General features: G+C 47.2%; 1 long non-coding RNA gene across 4 annotated transcripts in view, besides 2 other annotated features; it reads right to left on the minus strand.

Moving 5' to 3' along the window:
* The window catches only part of LINC01605 (long intergenic non-protein coding RNA 1605), a 196,324-nt gene that overhangs the window by 96,354 nt on the left and 78,701 nt on the right, over window positions 1-21,269 (minus strand). For 3 of the 4 annotated variants that reach the window (NR_170188.1, NR_170187.1, NR_121621.2), the window contains 2 exons: window positions 16,934-17,087; window positions 16,537-16,831 (listed from right to left, as the gene is read on the minus strand). The exons of the other annotated variant lie outside the window; for it this stretch is intronic. This is a non-coding gene — a long non-coding RNA (long intergenic non-protein coding RNA 1605). Of the gene's footprint in view, window positions 1-16,536; window positions 16,832-16,933; window positions 17,088-21,269 lie in introns of those variants that run through there. 4 annotated transcript variants of the gene reach the window in all.
* Window positions 17,493-18,013: an enhancer, noted in NCBI's record as "H3K4me1 hESC enhancer chr8:37374880-37375400 (GRCh37/hg19 assembly coordinates)". NCBI's record gives its function as "activates a minimal SCP1, AML or CMV promoter by ChIP-STARR-seq in primed H9 embryonic stem cells {active_cell/tissue: H9 hESC(primed)}" and the evidence as "EXISTENCE:reporter gene assay evidence [ECO:0000049][PMID:30033119]".
* Window positions 18,014-18,532: an enhancer, noted in NCBI's record as "H3K4me1 hESC enhancer chr8:37375401-37375919 (GRCh37/hg19 assembly coordinates)". NCBI's record gives its function as "activates a minimal SCP1, AML or CMV promoter by ChIP-STARR-seq in primed H9 embryonic stem cells {active_cell/tissue: H9 hESC(primed)}" and the evidence as "EXISTENCE:reporter gene assay evidence [ECO:0000049][PMID:30033119]".

Below are 21,269 nucleotides of genomic sequence, written 5' to 3' on the forward strand. Positions count from 1 at the left end.
AACATATAAGATATACTATAGCATATAGCATGGTCTATAGCATTTGGCATACACAGCATAGCATATACTATACCATATAGCATGGTCTATAGCAATATAGCATATATAACATAGCATAAGATATACTATAGCATATAGCATGCTCCATAGCATTTGGCATTCACAGCATACCATGTACTATAGCATATAGCATGCTCTATAGAAAACTATAGTCTATAGCCTTTTTGACCGTAGGCTGAGTGAGGTAAATCTGCCTTGAAATGAAATTTTTATGCAGTATCAAAGATAATAATAATAATGCTGAATCCTCTCACTGCCTAATGAGGTGCTGTTGTTATCTTCATTTCGCCATAAGAAACTCTGGCCAGAGAGGCGAGGTAACTTGCTCAAGGTCATACAGCTAAGAAGGGACAGAGAAGGAATTCAGAGCTGGCCCTCTGTGAATAAACTAGGTGTGGGCAGGCAGAAGGCCTGGCCCTCTGTGTGGAATATTATTTGTGTGGCACATCTTCCCAACCCCAGAGGACCCATAAGAGGCATGAATGCAACACACCCTCTTGAATTACTGACAGAGGGAATTCCTCCCTGCGATTTCTCTTGCTTTGGTATCAAGCACTGAGCTGTCCTTTTGGCTCTCTCGTGAACAGGCGAGGGCAGGTCTGACTGTGTTGAACAGAAGGGAAGGCTGAAGCACAGAGAGGTACAATACAGTGAGAAGTCCGAGGTCAGGCCCAGATTATAACTTGAGTCATCTGGCCCCATCCCCAGTCACTCCCAGCCCCAGGGCACAGCCCTGCCTCCTCCTCTCCCACCTGTGTCTGTGACCCGCCAGCCTGAGGCACTGGCAGCCTGAGGCATCAGGGATCAAGTCTTTCGGATAGAGTTCTTGACACCAGATGCTTTTGGAGTGGCCAGGCAGGGCAGGAAGGATGACTCTTGTAGGGGAAGGAAGGACACCATTTCCAAAAATAGAGTAAGAAAAGGCCGGAGGAGTAAGCAGTGTGCCCCAGAGACAAGAAGCGCCAGGTCCAGCGGGAGAGAGGGAGCTCAAAATACCACATCCAGAGAGCCCAAGGTTCCACTCGGGATCAACAAGCGCCCACTCCACCCCGAGTGCCAATTACTCACATTTTCCCACACAGCACCCAGATTTCCTCCTCCCGGCTTCATGACCTGGCCCCAAAGGCAATTTTTAAAAGGGGATTTCTATGCCTAGGCTGTGTTGTTATTTCTCCCTTCTTTCAACTCCCATCGAAGCTTCTTTCTGAAACTCTCTAAAGAAGAAAAAGTGAGATGTATAATTTACATATCCTAATGTGTATGATTCTAAAATATGACACTCTCCCTCTGCAGGGCCTCCTTCTAGCAAGCTGGTCCCTGGTCAATACCCTTGCTTGCCTCCCACCCTGAACATCTAACTGCACCTGCTACGTTCCAGACACCAGACTCAGCACTGACAGCAATACAAAGAAGTAGAAAACAAAGTTACTGCCCTAAAGAGAATTGAAGTCTAGGAAATTAAGAGTTCTTTTTCTGCCACTACAAACTCAGGCCAGTGATGACCTGTGCCTCAGTTGTCCCTCTGAGTCCTTTGGCAAACTGTGCTGTCCTCTCTCATAAAGACCAGGTAGCGGGAGCTAGCCACTCTTTCAGGGAATGATGATAGTGGATATTAAGTACCTACTCAGTGCCACGCACTGGGCAAGAAGTTTGACAAACATTCCTTAGGTCCCCAAGTGTACTCTTCAAGAGAGGTACTGTCATCTCCACTAAGAAGTCCTGCCTCTGGGAAGTCAAGCAAACTCTCCACAGTCCCCCAGCGAGTGAGGGCAGAGAGGGGATTTAAATCACACACCCCAGAACGTGGTGGAATCACCCCTGAATAGAGTGGGTAGTTGAATCACACTAATAATTGGATAAACTGTCAAGACCAACTTCCACGGCATTTACTGAACACATGCAAAAAAAACGCAATGTTTAGATTGATGGCATAAATGAGGACAACCTGGAAAGCAAATATAGCAATATCCATCAAACTTCTAAAGGCACAAATCCTACATACCAGAAATTTCATTTATGTGAATTTATCCCACTGTACAAAGATGCTCATTGAAGCACCGTTTGTAATAGAAAAAAAAGCTGGAATCAACCTAAGTGTCTATCAATAGGTAATAGGTTAAACTGGTTCATCCATAAAATGAAAGATTAATACTGTGCATTCATTAAAAAGAATGAGATATGCCTGCTGATACTATCATGAATGCATGTTTAAAAATGTTCTTTAATGAAAAAGCAAGTTTCAATATTATATGTACAGTATGATCCTGCTTACAGTTAAAAGCATTTTAGGCCGGGCAGGTTGGCTCACTCCTGTAATCCTAGCACTTTGGGAGGGTGAGGTGAGCAGATCACCTGAGGTCAGGAGTTCGAGACCAGCCTGGCCAATGTGGTGAAATCACGTCTCTACTAAAAATGCAAAAATTAGCTGGGCGTAGTGGCGGACGCTTGTAATCCCAACTACTCAGGAGGCTGAGGTAGAAGAATTGCTTGAACCCAGGAGACAGAGGTTGCAGTGAGCCGAGACTGCACCACTGCACTCCAGCCTGGGCAACAGAGCGAGACTCCATCTCAGAAAAAAAAAAAAAAAGCACTTTATATATAACATACATACATACATATACAATATATCACACTTAAAATGCCTAAAACAAGGTGACCCTTTCAACAAGCCCAGGAGGTGTCAAATGAGGAGACAAGAGCCTCCAGGAGACTAAGCCATTTCCCCAAAGTCATTCAACTGGTTCAGGGGACTCGAAGAGAAGTTTTCTGATGCTGAGCCCAGTGTTCCCCCCATCATGTGGACAGGGCTGGAGGGGCAGGCAAGGTTGAGTGAGAGTGCACGGGTCTTTCAGACTCACCACCAGCCCAGGTAGTATCTCCCAGGAGAAGGCAAGAGGGTGTAAGCCCCAGAAGTATCTGAGGCTGGAGGGCAAGGCTGAGTCACAGAAGCATGACAAGATGAGGAACAACAAAGGGGCTTCCAACAGCTTACTCAGGGGACAATCCAACGCCAGCCCCACCAACAGGCCTTGGACGCCAGCAAGGCTGAGGGCACTGAAAATTCCTACAGCCTTCTGAACTCTCAAGCAATGACTCCATCAATCTATGAATACTTGTTGAGCACCTATTCTGGAAAAGGCACAGGATGGAGCCTCAGAGGAGCCAGAAAAATGAGCCTGCTGAGCTCTCACTGTCTTCCGTGTGCTGCTGTGTCTCCTCCTAGGACTGTGTTTTCTCTGTGAGGAATGTGTAATCCCTCTTGTTGGGGAGAGAACATGCAAGTGCATAAAAATGTAATTAAACCCGCAGTAGGAGGGGCTAAGATCCCAGCGGAGTGCCAGGAATATGAGTTTTAGGTGCCCAGAGAGAGGAGGAAGGAGAGAATTCCAAATGGCTGGCAGAGCCAGGGAAGGGCATAGCCCTTCGTTCCATGGGGTTTTGAGCACAAAAGCAAAAAAAATTCTCCCTGTCTGCCAGCTATGACAGAGTGGAGTTAAAGCAGGATTTCACACTGGGGGTTGTGCCTCAATTAGGGGCGTCATTATCTGAATATTTAATTACATAACAGAAAACATCAGATTGCACCACATGTAGCAAAGGTAAGTCAACACAAAAACACAAGAAAAATGCGTGCATCCACAGATATACGTGTGTGTGTGTGTGTATGCTGGGCCACAGCGGAAAATATGTTTCTTGCTGTGGATTATGGTCCAAGTTTGAAATACACTGAAATAGAATGGAGAGGGAAATGGCCCTGGAGAAAGGTACTTCATTTAAGAAGGAAAGGAGTTAGCAAAGGTGAGGACTAAAGAAGAGAGAGAGCATGGCAACGATTCCTGGTCTCTAGCTCCCCTCCTGCTGGCGTCCTGCCCACATCCCTGGCCAGAGTATGTTCCCTCCATGCTGGCCTCCCCTATCCTCTCTGCACCCCCAGTCTGAATCCTTCCCTTCCTGCAAACTGGCAGTGATTATCCCATGGCCTTGGCTCCTCAGACCTCCCACATCTCCTAGCACCCCACACCAGGCATCTCATTCTTTAAGTGTTTCATGTGCAAGGCCAGAGAACCCTGGGCCTGGAGTAGCTGTGTGACTTTGGGAAAATCACTGAGCCTCTCTGAGCCTCTTAATCTGGCAGCTATGAATGATAACTGAATGCATCTTGTCTCTTTTATAATACCATAAACATCTCTCGAGGGAGAACCGTATCTTCCACTAATTTGGTAAACCACTGCCCATTGGTGTTGTGAGTAGTGCTAGACATATGTAGATACTTGATATTGTTACTTAACTTGGAAACTGTGCTGAGTAAAAGGAAAAAGAAATTAATTAACAAACACCAACACCATCACCTTCTATACTGGCATGATAGCAACAGCTGACACACACACAGAACAGAAGAGGCAGTTTATAAGCATGCAAGTTATATAGTTACACTGTACTCCCAACACACACTCAGAAATAAACCATGGTCTACTTGTCACCATCTTGAAATTCTTAATAATTTCTGAGCAAGAGACTCATATTTTCACTTTGCACTAAGCTTTGCAAATGCTGCAGTCTGTCTTAACCACATCTACAAAGACACACTAACAAATACATTTTGGGAATGTGTTGACTCCTTTAAAATTCTCCCTTCCAGGAGTTAGAACAGGTGGTGTTGACCTGTAAAGCGTGCATATAAAATTTCTCATCTGGCCAAGGGCAAGATTCCCATGTCAAGCAGCTGATCTCCCCTACAAGGGAGCTGCCAGACACTGGTTTGCAATGACAGGGCTTTGCTCCAACCGTGAAATTCATTTGTGTGCAATGAGTACTGAGCCCTGTCTAGTGGTTCTCACAGTGCCTCCTAGACCCACAGGAAAGCCAGCCTTTGAGATAAAATCTTAACCATCCTGCCCGCTAAAAAGAATCTACGCGAAAAGACGAAGGTGGTCCAAATCACTCCTGTTTCTCCCTACAAATACAGTCAAAGCAACACTAGATGAGCAGAAGCTAAAACACAAAGCTCGGGAGTGTTAAAAAAAAAAAAAAAAAAAAAAGGCTGAGCCTTGGTCCAGTCCTTTGCCCTCCAGAAAAGCCATGCTCAGATGGCTAAATAATACTGTTTAGTGGAGATAAGGACTCTAAGAGCTCAAATAAAAGGCAAATCGCTGCAGGAAAGGCTTGGACAGGAGGTGGAACTTCAGCTGTGCATGGAGGCAGCAGCATCAGCAACGGCTCCAAGGTGACCCCTGAACCTTGTCTGCAGGGAACACCCAGGAGAGTGGCTGCTGGAGCAGATGGAGCAAACAGAGGTGCTATGTGGGGAGTAGCAAGAAATATAAGGATTCCTCTGGGGGTTATTCTCATGATGGCCAAGGTGGCTGGACTTGATCTTATGGGTAATGAGAAAACAGATAGACACCAAGCCTGGTTCCACCTAGGGATAGAAAGCCCAAAGAAACCTACTGCAAGGCTGAACTCCCAGCAGAAAGGCCACCTGCTCCAGGAAGCAGCTCCTGCTCACCGTGTGCAAGGAGCCTGGTCCAGATTCACCACCTGAAGCCACACCAAGGGCCACACACATCCCACAGAAGGAGGGAGGCTGGGGGCAGAAAGGCCAGGTCTGCCTGTGAGAGATCCTTGCTCCACCCACCCTGGGCCTCTGCCCCTTCTGCCTGGCTTTCCAGATTCCAGCTGTCCTGCCTGGGAGGCTCCTCCAGCTGTGGCCAAATTAGTCACATCTGCCCTGGCCCCTCATTGGTTTCTCACCACATATGTATGGTACATTGCAATTTGCAAAGTGCTTGTCACAAAGATTGTCTCATTTAATCCTCAAGAGCCCTGGGAGGCTGGCTGGAGAAATGAGAATCAGGAATCCAGGACTGCAGGCATCTGATTCTAAACCCATATGCCTTTTTCAAGTATAGTGATTTCCCCTTTATTTGGGCTCATAGAGCCCTTATCTCCACCACAGTGTTATTTAGCTATCTAGGCATGGCTTTCGTGGAGGGCAAAAGACTAGACCAAGACTCAGCCTTTTTTTTTAAACACAAAAATCACAAAAAGAATCCTGGTTACTTAACTTCTGTATGCCTATGTCCTTATCTGTAAAGACCTGGGTCACTGTGATTAGAGTACTACGATTACTCTATCAGATTATTTCTTCATGTGCATCCCCACTACCTGTGATCTTGACAGTGATATGAGTCTTTGTCTACCCAGCACCTACCACATGACCCAGCATGGTTGGCCTACACATAGGCTGAGTGATGGGCTTACACCTGACATCCTTGCTCAATGGTGCAGATGGCATCAATTGCTGTCAGATGAATTTAAAAAGGAGAAAGGGAGGGAGGGAGGGAGGGGGGGAGGAAGAAGGAAGGAAGGAAGGAAGGAAGGAAGGAAGGGAGGGAGGGAGGAAGGGAGGAAGGAAGGAAGGGAGGGAGGGAGGAAGAAGGAAGGAAGGGAGGGAAAGAAGGAAGGGAGGGAAAGAAGGAAGGGAGGGAAAGAAGGAAGAGAGGGAAAGAAGGAAGAGAGGGAAAGAAGGAAGGGAGGGAAAGAAGGAAGGGAGGGAAAGAAGGAAGAGAGGGAAAGAAGGAAGAGAGGGAAAGAAGGAAGTGAGGGAAGGTAGGAGGGAGGGAGGAAGGAAAGAAGGAACGGAGAGAACGTAGGAGAGAGGCAAAAAGAGAGGAAGGAAGAGAGGGAGAGATGGAGAGAGGGAGAGAGGGAGGAGGGAAGGAAGGAAGGAAGAAAGAAAAGAGGAAGGGAGGGCATGAGGGAGGAAGAAAAGAAGGAAGGGAAAGAAGGAAGGAACAAATGAACAAAGGAAGGAAGGAATGAAGGAAGGAAAGAAAAGAAGAGGAGAAGAAGGGAGAGAGGGAAGGAGGAAGGAAGGAAGGAATGAAAAGCGGAAGAGAGAGAGAGGGAGGGAGGGAGCAGACTCCATTTTCTCCTTCGTTCCCTCTTTGCCCCATCCCAGGAGAACACAGTCCTTCTGACTTTCATGTACACTACGATGGTTATAATAGCAGTTTTACATGCTTCAAGGGACTGTGGTGCAGAGGACACAGGAATGGGTGGTGTGATCAAGTACTGTCTTAGCAAAGCACTGTGTGCAAATGAGACACTCAAGACAGCATCATTAGCATATGACAGTGCCATTTCTGGGCCATGGTCCACAAAACCTTAACAACAAGAACTGCAAGTGTGAGGACTGTGTGCAGAGAGGGTGACTCCCCAGCGGGAGGGCCAAGGGACCTCTTCTGACTTACAGAGCTGTGAAGCCCTAAGACCCCCTCCACACACACACACACACACACACACACAAACACTAACATTCTCCCTTCCCATCACCCCAGGTCAACTGCAAGACTGAAAAGTAGTGACAAAGTTCCTGCATAGGTTTCTTTTAATTAAGCTCACACACAAAAAGAACCGCTCTGGGTTTTGTCTGTTGTAACTTTTGTTCCCTGGTCTGTTTGTACTTATTCAGAAATTACATAATTTTTAAAAAAATATATTAAGTAAATATGCACATCAGCCTGTCAAGTTACCTGGGCTCACCTTCACTTGGGAACCACACTGACAGCCCCTTTATTTCTCTTACTTGTTTTTAAGCACAAAATATGTCACACCTGGAAGTAATTAGCATAATTTTTACTAATTTATAGCTAATTACACAATTACTTTTCTATGAAAGGTTCTGGAAAGACACTTGAAGTAAGTTTCACGAAATCTAGTGGCAAGAAATTGCTTGAAAACATTCTGTTAGCTTCAAACATTTAGGAGGAGGGAGGGGGAACGCCCAATAAAGTAATTCTCTCCTATTTCAGAGTGTTCAAATATGACAGGGATATAATTTCTCCAGTAATTTACAAAACAGAATGTCTAGATGTCTCTGCTAAGCCAACCTAATCAGAGACTGCTCTAGGGAAAGGCTCCAAAAAGAAGCATTGTCAAGAGCACCCAACACAGAACCTAAAAGGCACTGTTTTTTTTTTTTTTTACTGCAATTGGTTTCCTAGTAGAAATAAAACTTGGCAATGACTCTCCCTCCAGGAGTAAATCAACCTCTTGATAGAACGTGACCCCTGGCAGGTGCCTTGCTCAGCTCCTGAGAACAGGTGAGCAGGTAAGCTCAGAAGATCTGTCATGGATTCAAACCTTTGGAGCCAATAGACTGTCAAAGTGAAGTTCCAAGATGTCAAGCCTGAGTGAATACTTTTTAAAGAGTGCAAACAGAAACAAAAAATATTCTCCAGTTCAACTCATTCAACTCACATTTTTTTATTTCAATTGAAAATAATGTTTATTTTTTCAGATTATTACAGAAATATGTTTTCATTGTAGAAAATTTGGAAAACTGACCATTGGAAAGAAAGAGGAAAACTGGTACAAATCATATTACCAAAAGACTAATGTTGAAGTCCTGTCATATTTTAATCCAGTCCTTTTTTCTATGTGTGTAGATATTCCATATTTTGTTTAATCAACTCCTTACATTTGTATATTCAACTCATTTACTTTTTAAACTTTAATAAATAACAATATGATGAATATTTCTTATACATAAGTATGTGTGCTCAGCTGTGCTAGTTACCCTTTAAAATTAATATTATTTCTGTAATTTTTTGTTTTACTTATTCATTCTGTATTTGTATCATCTATCAATTTCATAGCATTTCTCTATGAAATTATAAATTATCTAGATATTATCTAGATATGTTATTATTTAACAAACATCATATCTGAGATATAGTATATCTTTCCATGACTTGGAAATTAATTTAGATTTGTAAGGCATTTTCATTTGCTGAGTGAGCTAACAGTTATTAAAGGCTTACCATGTGCCAGGCACTGCGCTCCATGCATTACACGTGATTAGTTAATTTATCATCAGTATTAAAGAGTGGTTAAGAGCATAGACCTGGAGGTGGACAGCATGCGTTCCAGTCATAGCTGTGCTACTCATTGGTTTTGGGACCTTGTGAAAATTACTTTATTGTTCTGTAGCTCAAGGATCCCCTCTGTAAATCCATATAGAGTGCTTGAAAAGACTAGCTAAAGAAAATCACAAACCTCCCAAAAACACACAAGATCAGCACTCTTATTTCCATTTTATAGATAAGAAAAACAAGGCTTAAAGATAAGTTGTTAAAGGTTCCATGAGAATAAATAGGAGTAGGCTTTCACCTCAGTGTGATTATAGAGCCCACCTGCTGAACCTCTGTGCTATCCCATCTCTCCATGTCTATGGGGGATCATTAAACTAGGTTCTTTTCTGCCTGTTTTTTTTTTCTTTTCTTTCTTTTTTTTTTCAGCATCATTTAGCTAGTTAGTGACAGAGCCAGGACCCAAACCCACTTCTTATTACTGAGTATTTTTACTAATGCACTGTGATATTGCCTTCCATCATCCCAACAGACCTTCTGTTATGGCTTATATTGGATTTTTCCTGTTCTTGCTGCTGAAGCTATCTTTCACTAGTTATCTTGCTTTTCCTCACTCATCTCTTTAGATTCATCATTGCCTAAACACTTATTTCATTATTTTCTCCTCTCTTTCACAAAAAATATAAGGTGGCTTATAGAAATATCTACAGGACAATATAAAATAAAATGAAACAGATCAGAGCAAACAAAAAGACAGAAACCTAGTTAAATAATCAGGATAATTCAACCATTATTGGCACTGAAACCAGAGACATATTTCTCCTATGGCCTTTTGTGGCCAAAGGTAGTAAGTGTCCTTAGAGAACAAGTTCAGGGGATTGTGTGGTAGCTGGTCACTTCAGAAAAAGCAGATCTACAGTGATGCTGATAGCAAGCATCTAGGTATGAAGGTCTTTGAAGCAGCACTGCCCCCTTTGGAGACACTTCCTTGATAATATGCAAGACAGTCAATATACAACTACGTTTTCCTGCTCAATATGCCAGTGGAGCCTTCTATAAGAAGGCCTGATAAGTAGACCGTGTCCTTCAGGCCACATTGCATATAAATTGCTTTTCTCGATGTAACACAGTCACTTCCAACTGGCAGTGATTAGGTGCAGGTCCAGCACTTCATCGGGTGCCTTCTGGCTCACCGTAGTAAGGACTCTTCTGCATGTCATGCTGAAGGATGCCTAATTTTCTAGTTTTTTGGCGGGAAGATGGGGTGGCAGTGGCATTGTGATGCTTCCTCTGAGCACATGTTCTTGCCTACCATGTAGAAAAAAATGCCCTGGAGAAGCTGAGCTGCACGCAGCTCCCGCCTAAGCAGTCAGGGCCATAGACAGGAGCTGTTTTCTCCCCAGGATGGGGCTCCAAGTTGTCCCCAAGCCACCGCGGTGCCCCCTCAAGCGGGTCCTGAAGGAACCAGAGCTGCTTTCCTTCTCATTGTGGATGCCATCTCAACTTACATTTTTTAAGCCCCTACTCAGTGCCTGGTACTTAATAAGAATATTTACAAAGGAAACCATTGCTGCTTTCCCTCTTGTGCTAGTCCATTTTGCATTGCTATAAAGAAATACCTGAGACTGGGTAATTTATAAAGAAAAGAGGTGTATTTAGCTCATGGTTCTGCAGACTGTATAAGAAGCATGGTGCAGGCCGGGCACAGTGGCTTACACCTGCAATCCCAGCACTTTGGGAGGCTAAGGTGGGTGGATCATTTGAGGTCAGGATTTTGAGACCAGCCTGGCCAACATCTCTCCTAAAAATTCAAACATTAGCCAAGCATGGTAGCAGATGCCTATAATCCCAGCTAATTCGGAGGCTGAAGCATGAGAATCGCTTGAACCTGGGAGGTAGCGGTTGCAGTGAGCCAAGATTGTGCCATTGCACTCCAGCCTGGATGACAGAGTGAGACTCCATCTCAAAAAAGAAAAAAGAAAAGAAGAAGATGCATGGTGCCAGCACCTGCTCCTGGTGAGGGCCTCAGGGAGCTTCCAATCATGGAGGAAGGGAAAGGGAGAGCCACAGTGTCACATGGGGAGAGAGAGTGTGTATTAGTCCATTTTTACACTGTTATAAAGATATTACCCAAGACTGGGTAGTTTATAAAGGAAAAGGGTTTAATTGGCTCACAGTTCTGCATGGCTGCAGAGGTCTCGGGGAACTTACAATCATGGTAGAAGGGGAAGCGGGCACATCTTACATGGTGGCAGGTGAGAGAGAGCATGTAAAGCGAGAATAGTCCCTTATAAAACCATCAGGTCAAATGAGAACTCACTCACTACCATGAGAACAGCATGGGGAAAACCGTCCTGATGGTCTGATCACCTCCCAACTGTAAATGGGGATTACAATTCAAGATGAGATTTGGGCAGGGACACAGAGCCAAACCATATAAGGGAGCAAGAGAGATGCCAGGCTCTTTTAAACAACCAGCTCCTTTGTGAACTCATTACAAAGGGAAGGGCGCCAAGCCATTCACAAAATATCTGCCTCCATGACCCAAACACCTCCCACTAGGCCCCACCTCCAACACTGGGGCTTACGTTTCAGCATGAGATTTGAAGAGACAAATATCCAAACCATATCACTTAGTCATGCTGAGAAGGCAAAAAGGATGCCAAACAACCAGTGAGTCTTTACTGAACCCTGATTTAGAAAGAGGGGAACGCGGGGCAAAAGGGCCAGATGCAGCCCCTGCCTTGAAGAAACTGACAAACTGGAGACCCAAGCCACACCCAGGAAGCACGTGGTCTAGCACAGCCTCAGTCCTCATCCAAGCAGTGTCCACGGGCAGCCTGGGCTCCACGTGCTGCTGACATGGAAAGACAGCACTTGGGAAGCAATAGCCCAGGAAGAGGTGATGGATCCCCAGCTCTGTATGATGGGCTGGGGGTGGGAACATTCAGTCAGGACCACACAAGGACACCGGGGAGGCAGGAAAGGTGACGATGGGTAAAGCGTTCCAAATTCCCTGGCAGGAAAAGGAGATTAGGGAGCCAGTAGCACCCTGAAAGCCATTAGACCCCTGGAAAAGCCCCCTAGAGTCCTGAGTTCTAGCCCATATCTGTCCCAGGGCTGGATATTTGGTAATAAGGAATCCACGCCACGAGACCTGTAGGAGAAGTTGTCTGAGGTCCGCAGAATTGGTGGAGAGGGGAGAAAGCCTGTGGTACTTGCCTGCGTTCACAACAGGGGTGGTAGCACGCCAACAGGGCGAAAGCTGGTTCTTGGGGGATTTTTAAAAACCTTAGCTATTGCAATGATTTGTGAGCCTTGAAAGGACCATGGAACATAGCAGGTACATGGGATAGATGTGTTAGTAAGATTTCATGTGGGGTGCGATCAGGGAATTGTCTAAATAGTCATCTGCAGAGCCAGCCACAGTGGCTCCCGCCTATAATCCCAGTGCTTTGGGAGGGCAAGGCAGAAGGATCGCTTGAAGTCAGGAGTTTGAGACAAGCCTGGGCAACGTGGTGAGACCTCATCTCTACAATTTAAAAAAAAAAAAATTAAGTGGTGCACGCATGTGGTCTCAGCTACTTGTGGGGGTAACGCAGGAGGATTGCTTGAGCCCAGGAGTTAGAGGCTGCACGGAGCTATGATTGCAACACTGCACTGCAGCCTGGGCAACAGAGTGAGACCCTGTCTCTAAGAAGAAAAAAAAAATTCAACTGTAGCAGTTAGGAGGAGGACAGCCAACAACGAAAAGACAAACACAGGTTTCTAGGAAACTTCTCCACCGAGAAGGCGGAGATTCACCTGCCAAGTAATCCTGCTGTCATCTCCCCATCTTCTTAAGGTTCACATTCCTTCCTCTCGATACCTACCCTTGCCTCTCCTGTTGCAGGTGTCCTCGTACTAAAATGTATCAGTCTGCAAGTCGGCCTTGCCTCCTGGATTGTGAGTTGGCTGAGGACCGAGGCCACAGGATACACCTTTGCTCTCCTGCCTCCTGGCACCCATCACACGGAGCAGACCCCCAGTAAACATGAGCAAAATGGAGCTGAATTGTTCTGCAACTGCGTGTCTTGCTTTGAAGACCCCTGTGTAAGTCGGTGGCAGTGAGGTATTTGGAAGATTTCCAGTTTCTGCCAGGCCCACCTCAAGGCTACTGAGACATTTTGGCAAAGGCACGTCCTCTGCCGCCCACAGGAGAGTAATGTTAATAGTTTGCACTTGGCATATTTCTTTTCACTTTTTCAAATTACTTTCACAGCTGCCGTCATTTGACCCTTGCAAAAACCCTATGAGGCAAGTAGAGGAAGTCATTAACGGCCACTCTTTTTGCAGGTTTCCTCATTCCGTCAACAGGTAGCCTTGAGAGAGCACCTGTGGCCTCGGCATTGAGCTGTTCCAACGCTGGAACGCAGAGGGGAACAGGATGTGAAAGGCCCTTCCCTCACCTTGAGTACAATCTCCGGAGACAAAACACACAAACAGCAAGATAGTTATGATCCTGATAAATGTTAGGGGGAAAAAAGGCAGGGTAGTCGTGGCTCATGCCTGTAATCCTAGCACTTTGGGAGGCTGAGCGCTATTTCCTAGCACTCCTTGAGCCTGGGAGTTCGAGGCTACAATGAGCTATGATTGCACCACTAAACTCCAGCATGGATGACAGAGTGAGACCGCGTCTCAAAAAGAAAAGAAAAAAAGTGCAGAATAATGAGAGAGCAGTATCATAGACTGTGTGGTCCAGAAACCTCTCCAAAGGCATGAAGTGGATGTGCAGAATGAACATGCATGGGTCATGTGAAGAGCTACAGAAAGCAACCAGGGTACCCAAGGCCAGGCTCACACCTCCAGTCCCAGCACTTTGGGAGCCGAGGCAGGAGGATCTCTTGAGGCCAGGAGTTCGAGACCAGCCTGGGCAAAAAAAATGAGACCCCATCTCTACAAAATTAAAAAAATATATATATCAGCCAGGCCTATTGCTGCGTGTCTGTAGTCCTAGCTTCGCAAGAAGCTGAGGCAGGAAGATCATTTGAGCCCAGAAGTTTGAGGCCGCAGTGAGTGGGTTATGATCATGCTGCTGCACTGCAGCCTGAGCGACACAGCCAGACCCTGTTTCTAAAATAAATAAAAGAGAAACCAAGACCCAAGGGGTCTAAATGACTCACCTGGTATCCCACTCCAAGTCTCTCATTTTCTAAGTAGAGACCTGGATTACAAGGGGGGGTATGGGAAATGTACACACATGCACACACATACACACAGAGACATACACAGACACATACACACAGAGACACACACAGATACACACACAGACACACACATGCACACACACACATACACAGACACACATGCACACAGACACAGAGATACACACAGATACACAGACACACACAGAGACACACACAGACACTCACATGGACACACACACAGACACACACGCATAGAGACACACACACAGAGACACAGAGACACACACAGACACACACACACACCTCCCACATCTGTCAACTCTAAAGGAAGCACCAGACAGAGAGGCAGGCAGAACTCATCATAGCCAAGGCACCTTAAGGACAACTGGAGAAGGCTGGGCCAACCCCGGTACCTGCTCTCCGGCAGCCCTGCCAGGTGCCTGGGACACAGCCAGGAAACCGCCTCTCTGAGGAGCACCAGGCCTCTTCCCAGGCTGACGTGACCAACTCGTCTGCCCCTGTGAGCAATGTTTATTATTCAACAGGGCATGATGAGACGGTTCTGAGATTTCAGAGTCGGCTGGCGGTTTCATTACAAGCAATCAGGGAAGCTTTGGACAATTAGTGGGAAGGTTTTGACAGAGAGAACGTGCACTAGCCTGGTAGCTCTCACCAGCGCCCAAGTCAAAGCGCTTTTCTTTCCTTTTTTTTTTCCTGCCACAGAAATCTGCATATTCATTCTTCTAAACATCCGGGTCGCTGGTGACTTGGTGGTCAGCCGTTCTCTCCTTCCACTCAACAGATGGTTAATTGATGCTCTAAGTCTCTCTGCCTTAGACATTCTCCTTGATCCTCTACTGGAACACTTCTCCCAACAGCCCACTTGCTGCCCCCCACGCCACACAGGCCATCACTGCATAGCCAGCCATCACCCACACTGTGAACTTGACAGTGGCTATGAAAGAAATGTAAGAGGTGGTCCTGGGGAGTCTCTGCATCTCCTAGCCCATACATTGAGTAAGGGGCTGAATTTTTGGTTTATGGCAGACCTACTACATGCATTAGAGCATTCTGGGGACTTAAACACATTCTATATTCCCCACTACAGACCTATAAGCAAACTATGATATTATAAATCCCCATTTTACAAGTAAAGACACGGAGACTGACAGTGTCTGCATCTAGGAAGTTCCTGCAACCACAAAGTTGCAGAGCTAAGATTCCAAACCCTCATCCATCTGACACAATATCTGGCATCTCCGTGTGACAGGGTGGTGCCTCTGCTCTTCTCAGCCTCCAGGCCTCAGGATGGCAGCCATGGAAATAAATGCTTCCAGAAGGAATGAATCTTGGCCACTCGAGCAAATGCACAAGGGCAAGGCGAAGGTCTCCTAGAGGTGCAGCAGGGGTCTAGGACCTGGAGGCAGGCAGGAGTGTCTCATCTTGCACAGGAAAGGCTATTTATGTCCAGGGCTTCTGTGCTGGATAGCTGGTGACCATGGCTGAGGCTAAAGCTGTATGCAAGCCGCTGCCAGCCATGATTCACTAAGGAAGCACTCCCTTCTTGATTCCAGAGCAGGGACCCTGAGCCCAAGGCATCACAGCTGGTGGAATGACTCACCCCAGAAAACCACCTGGTTTGAGGGCCCCTCCTGATTATGCTGAGAAAGGCCCTATTCACTCCGGGAAGGAGACTCGGTGCCCTCCACGACCTTTGCTTCACCAGGATGTGTTTTCCCATAGGTAAGAAAGTTGGTTTCGAGAACCGTCTGATTTTTCCATATGCCGTTGTGTGTACAGAAGAAGACACAATGGATTTTAAATCATGAAACCAGGCTCCCAGTTCCAGCCTTGCACCTAACTGACAGCAACACCTTAGGCAAGTCACTTCTCTCTGGCTCTCATTTCTCCAAGTGGCAGATGGGGGAAGTGGGGCGAAGAGAGTTGCAAGCTTCCAGCTCTGGAATTCTATCACTGCAAGCTGCTCCCGAACAGTGTTTCCCTCCAATACAAACACTGCCGTAGGTTATCAGAGGGCTGGGAGGTGACAGAGAGAGAAACATGGGAGACAGAGAAACAAGGGCACAGCCGGATGGACAGAGACAGATCGAAATAGGGGAGGCTACCTCGCCAGGGAAAGGGAGAACAGCCTGGTGGCGTGGAGAGAAAATTGGAGCCCCTGATGTAAGCAGACTCTTGCCAGAATTGCTGGAAACAAATAGTGACAGATTGCTAACACGTTACAGTGAAAATTACCAACACGATGGGACTTTTGCACCATAACTGGCACCTCTTGTTATCCCATTAACAAAGCTGATGAGACCAAATTGCTAATAGGAGAAAACGTTCATGTTGGATTATATCACTCTTGTCCTGCATAAATAACACGACCAAAGCACAGACCAGAGGCACACAGAAACCTCCCAAGAGCCAATTTATTTTAGGCACAATTGGGGAAAGCCCTGGTATGCCCCAGCCTCTTCCATGACATCCAGAAACAACCGCACCCACCACCGGCACCATGCAAGGTGTCTGTTCACATTGCTGAGCTGGGCGAGATCGTCTGTCAGTCATTACATAAAACAGGAGCCAGTGACCTTTGCGAAGTACACAAGGTACGCTGGCAGGGCCAGTGGCAGGAAGGGAGGGACAAGTGGACAGTGGTGTGTCTGAATTGTAGAGTGTTAGATTCCAGGTCATTCCCATCTGCTCCTAGAACAAACAAACACATCAGAACTCACCACTATTTACATTTTTACCACCCCCATCTGGCCACTTCCCACTATAGCCAGGCCAGAGAGAGCCCCGACTCACAATTCCATCAGCCGCAGAGTTCAAGCTGTCATCTAAGCCCAGGGAGGTGTAAGGAACAGGCCACATCTGGTTCTTGGAAGTATATGCCCAGGCATTTAAAGCGGATCTTTCCTCTTTGGGCCATGGGTGGATTTCCTGCTCAAGCAACCTTCATCTAGAGAGGGCAAGATGAGGAATGTATTTGATGCTCACTTCTCTCTCAGAAAAACCCTCCAGTTGCCCAAACCTCTCAATGCTTTACAGCAGTTTTTTTCTTCCCCCTAGGATAATCACTGACTACCCCAAGCCCCCTGCCACCACCCCCAGAGAATGCGACTGGCTGTGGGCTGTACGCCCCGGTAGTCATTCAGAGATGTAATTGGCCAAAGATTATTCTGAGTAATTGAATGGCAAGGGCTTTTACATACCAAACAGGGACTTGTCTTTGTCAAAAAAAGTCTTTACAAAGTACCCAAGTACTGGGTGTCAGACAGGACAAGTTTTTTAATCATGTTAAAATGATTTATTTAAACGTCAAGGCATGTCACCTCACTTCCTTTCATTTTTCAAACTGTTTGTGTTTTTTCTGGATGATAAATTTATCTTCAGACAGCCTCAATATGACTAATTAACTTTGAAATATAAGAACCAGATGTGTGAGTTGGAGAGTTTTCTGAACTCATGCCAGACGGGCTGATGGGTTTTTTCTTCTCCTCCTTCTTCCCTGCCTTTCACCCCCACGCGCCCCCGCCCCGCCACTCCCCCGACTCCGCATTCCCTCTCCCTGCTGGCCGCCCTGAAATTACCAAGCAGAGACACATTCAGGAAATAGAATCCCAGGACCCCAGCTAGCCATGAGCACCCACCGTTTCTGCTCTGGTTTTAGCCTTTCAGGGCCCCGTTCTCTCCCTTGGAAAGTAACCCCAGAGTGTAGGCAGCGCTGTCTTAAGAAGAGGGACAGGGAAAAGATCCCTTGCCCTTCCCCCACATAAAAGTCAGTCACGCCAAACCATGGCACACAGCAACTTCTCTTCGAGAAAGTCCTCCCCTGGTACGTGCTCCCCAGATCCGCCAGCTCCCTGCTGCCTTTCAATGAGCTCCACGCACAATGCCCAACTTGTGGGGACAGGAGAGGCAGGACTGAACCCATGGCTGAACCGTGCAGCTCCTAGGTGGAGCGCTTTTCAGCAGAGGCCAGTTTGGGGGCTAGAAGCTGCAGATGTGCGCCTGCATCTGCACACATGTGCATACATGTGTGTGCCTGTGTCTGTGTGTGTCTGTGTACTTCTGTGTGTATATACGTGTCTATATGTGCATGTGTGTCTGTATCTGTGTGTTTGTGTGTCTTTGTGCCTGTGTGTGTGCATCTGTGTATCTGGGTATATGTGTGCCTGTGTCTGTGTCTGTGTGTGCATCTGTGTGTATGTGTCTGTGTGTGCACAATCTCTGTGTGTCTGTGCGTGCATACGTGTATGTCTGTGTGTGTTTATGTCTGTGTGCGTGTGTGTGTCTGCGTGTTTGTGTGTGTGCATGTGTGCGTGTCTGTGTGTGTTTATGTCTGTATGTGTCTGTCTATGCGTGTGTCTGTGTGTTCATGTTTGTGTGTCTGTGTGTGCATGGGTGTCTGTGTGTTTATGTCTGTGTGTCTATGTGTGTGTGTGTGTTCGTGTCTGTGTCTGTGTGTGCATGTGTGTGTCTTTGTGTGTGTTTGTCTGTTTGTGTATATGTTTGTTTCAGTTGTGTGTGTTGATGTCTATGTGCATAGGTGTGTGTGTGTGTCTTTGTATGTGTCTGTGTGTGTCTGTGTGTGTGTGTGTGTCTTTGTGTGTGTCTTTGTATGTGTCTGTGTGTGTCTGTGTGTGTGTGTGTGTGTGTGTGTGTGCGCGCTTCGTTCTCAGGGACAGGATGGCAGCTGAAAATAATCCAGCGATGGCAAAAACGAGGATTCATTTTTCCAGGACTCACAGAGCAAAGCAAAAGGGACCGAGTGAAAGGCCTGAGCTCAGCGCCTCAGTTTCCCCCCAGGCTACTACAGCCTGTCCCACCGGATCTCTCTGCCAGAAGTAGGCTGGGATCATGTGAGATCACCAGTCTGGAAGTTCTTGGAGCCCTTTGAAAGCCCTTTGAAAGCCTTTGAAAGGCATGATCTCCATCCTGAGGGTTATTAGGATAATTGCTGCCGTGATTAGACCGTCGTGACCATTCTCCTTAGCATGCCTCTTAATGGCTGGGATGCCCCACCTGGGATCATCTCACTCACTTTCAAAGTCAGTAGACTTGCTCCCCACTCCAGGCCTCAAACAGGAGCATAAACAGCAGACTCAACTCCTCTCCTCTTGGGAAGAATGCCAACAGAGGCGCCCTCCTCGGCTCAGGGAGAAGAAAATCCCCCGCTTCATGCCTAAGACTCCAGGCTGCTGGTGGAAAATGACTCAGCCACCCACGAACCCCAAGCACTTGTGTTCTTGGGGGACAGGAGAAGGGGTCTGTGTGGAAGTCCCTTCCCTTCACTGCACAGCCCTCAGGGTCTTTCCACCACCCCTGCCCTCTGCAGTCCCTCCTGCCTCTATGGAGAGCCTGGCTCCCGGCTCTGTGGACAGGGGGAAGAGGTGACGGCAGGCAGGGCTCTTGGAACAGCAGGAGGTGGGCCAAGTTCCCTGGGGCCTCCTGCCCCACCTGCCTGGTAGCAGCCCTGCTTCCTTCCCACAAAATACTTCTCTTGCTTTCAGCAGGGTGTCACCTAATCCCCAGGAAGGAAGGAGTGCCACCCTTCCAAGAGGTATTTGCATTTGAGCAGGAGTTTCTGGAAACCTAGGAGGAAAAGGGACTGGAATAAAGGAGGAAGGGGGCAGAGATGGAGACAGCGAGCTCCACACTTCTCAAATCAAATCCTGCCTCATCCTGATTCCTGCCTCATCCTGATACTGAGACCCCACATCGCACAGGCAAACAGATGGACCAGCATGGGTGGCCATGGGCACTGAGGTCAGCAGTGGCTCCCAATGCCGTCCTGAGAAAGAGGCAGGGAGGACTGAACTACAGGGGAGGGGCCCTGAGCATTCACATCGGGGCACGCCACCGTCGTCCAGTGTCTGCGTCCTCCACACTGGACACAAACAGTGTAATGCCCCCAGAACCTCTTGGGGAGTGGGAGAGTGAGGTTGTAGGAATATTGAGCCCCACAGCTTTACTTGGCGTCTTCCAGCATCCCCGGGTAGCCACACAGATAGATGAGCAGACACCACCGCAATAAGCTAGTGTAAGCTTCCCCAGCCATCACTGTATCTCCAGTTCTGCAGTACAGTCCCCGCCTCCCAAGAGGGCATCTTCTCAGTACTAAATACCCATGCCACCAGGACACTTGCAGTCTGCCACCTGCAGAAAGTTATATGCGGGGCCCTGGTTGGGGGTCTTTCTCCTGCACTCCCCACTCCAGGGGAGAAATTCAGATAATTTTCTGACCATTAGTAACATTTCCTGCGATGTCAAACTAAGATAATTATGGAGCTTACCAAATCGTAGGCTCCTTAACTCACGGATGGCTGGGGAATGGGGAAGCCTGGAAAATTCGGGAAGCCCACAGGCCGGGAAATCGAGCCACGGGTGTGCTGGGACTGTCTTAGGACCGTGGCCTCCTAAGGCCTGCACCTGAGAGCATTTCTCCCTCCCTCCCCACCTCCCGGCTGCTTTTTCTCTCCAAGGGAACAAGGAGTTTGCATCTGTGGGCTGAAAGGTGACCCCTCATTCTGGCCGAGGGAGCCCAGGAGCACCCATCCACCCCCACAGACCCACCCAGTGTTTTTTGAAACTGAGAGATCTGGATTTGCTCTCCCTGCCTGTACAACCAAGCGAGCCCCCCTTGCCTTCTGCCACTAAATGAGCATAACAAGGAGAGAAACTAGACGCTGCAATCGACAGAAGCCATCGTTTGGGAGCTGTCAGACTTGATGTCTCAGAGACCCGGGATCCAAAGGCCCGTCCCCCTATACAGCTTGAGATATTTAATAAAGTAAAGCCTCGAGGATCAAGGGGCTGCAATCCTTCCCACTCCTTCCCGCAGCTCGTGCTGGAGTTCTTTAAAGCCTGCCTTGCGTCTGCCTTTCTCTCCAGAAAGCCTTTCATGCCGCCTCGCCAGACTGACACTTTGACAAGTTGCCACGAGTGACATCTGATTTGTACAAATTTCAAGACTAATAAATCTACCTGTCAAAGCGGAAACTTTAAAAGGAGCTAAGCCCAGCGGGTATAGTTTAACAGAACTCAAGTTGATGAAACTGTAGGATGAAGAAATTATATCTGTCACAATCCACCCACATTAGTTCTGCAGAAATGTTGGCAACTGAAACAAACGTCTTTC

This window comes from Homo sapiens, chromosome 8 (assembly GCF_000001405.40).
Source record: "Homo sapiens chromosome 8, GRCh38.p14 Primary Assembly".
NCBI lineage: Eukaryota > Metazoa > Chordata > Mammalia > Primates > Hominidae > Homo > Homo sapiens.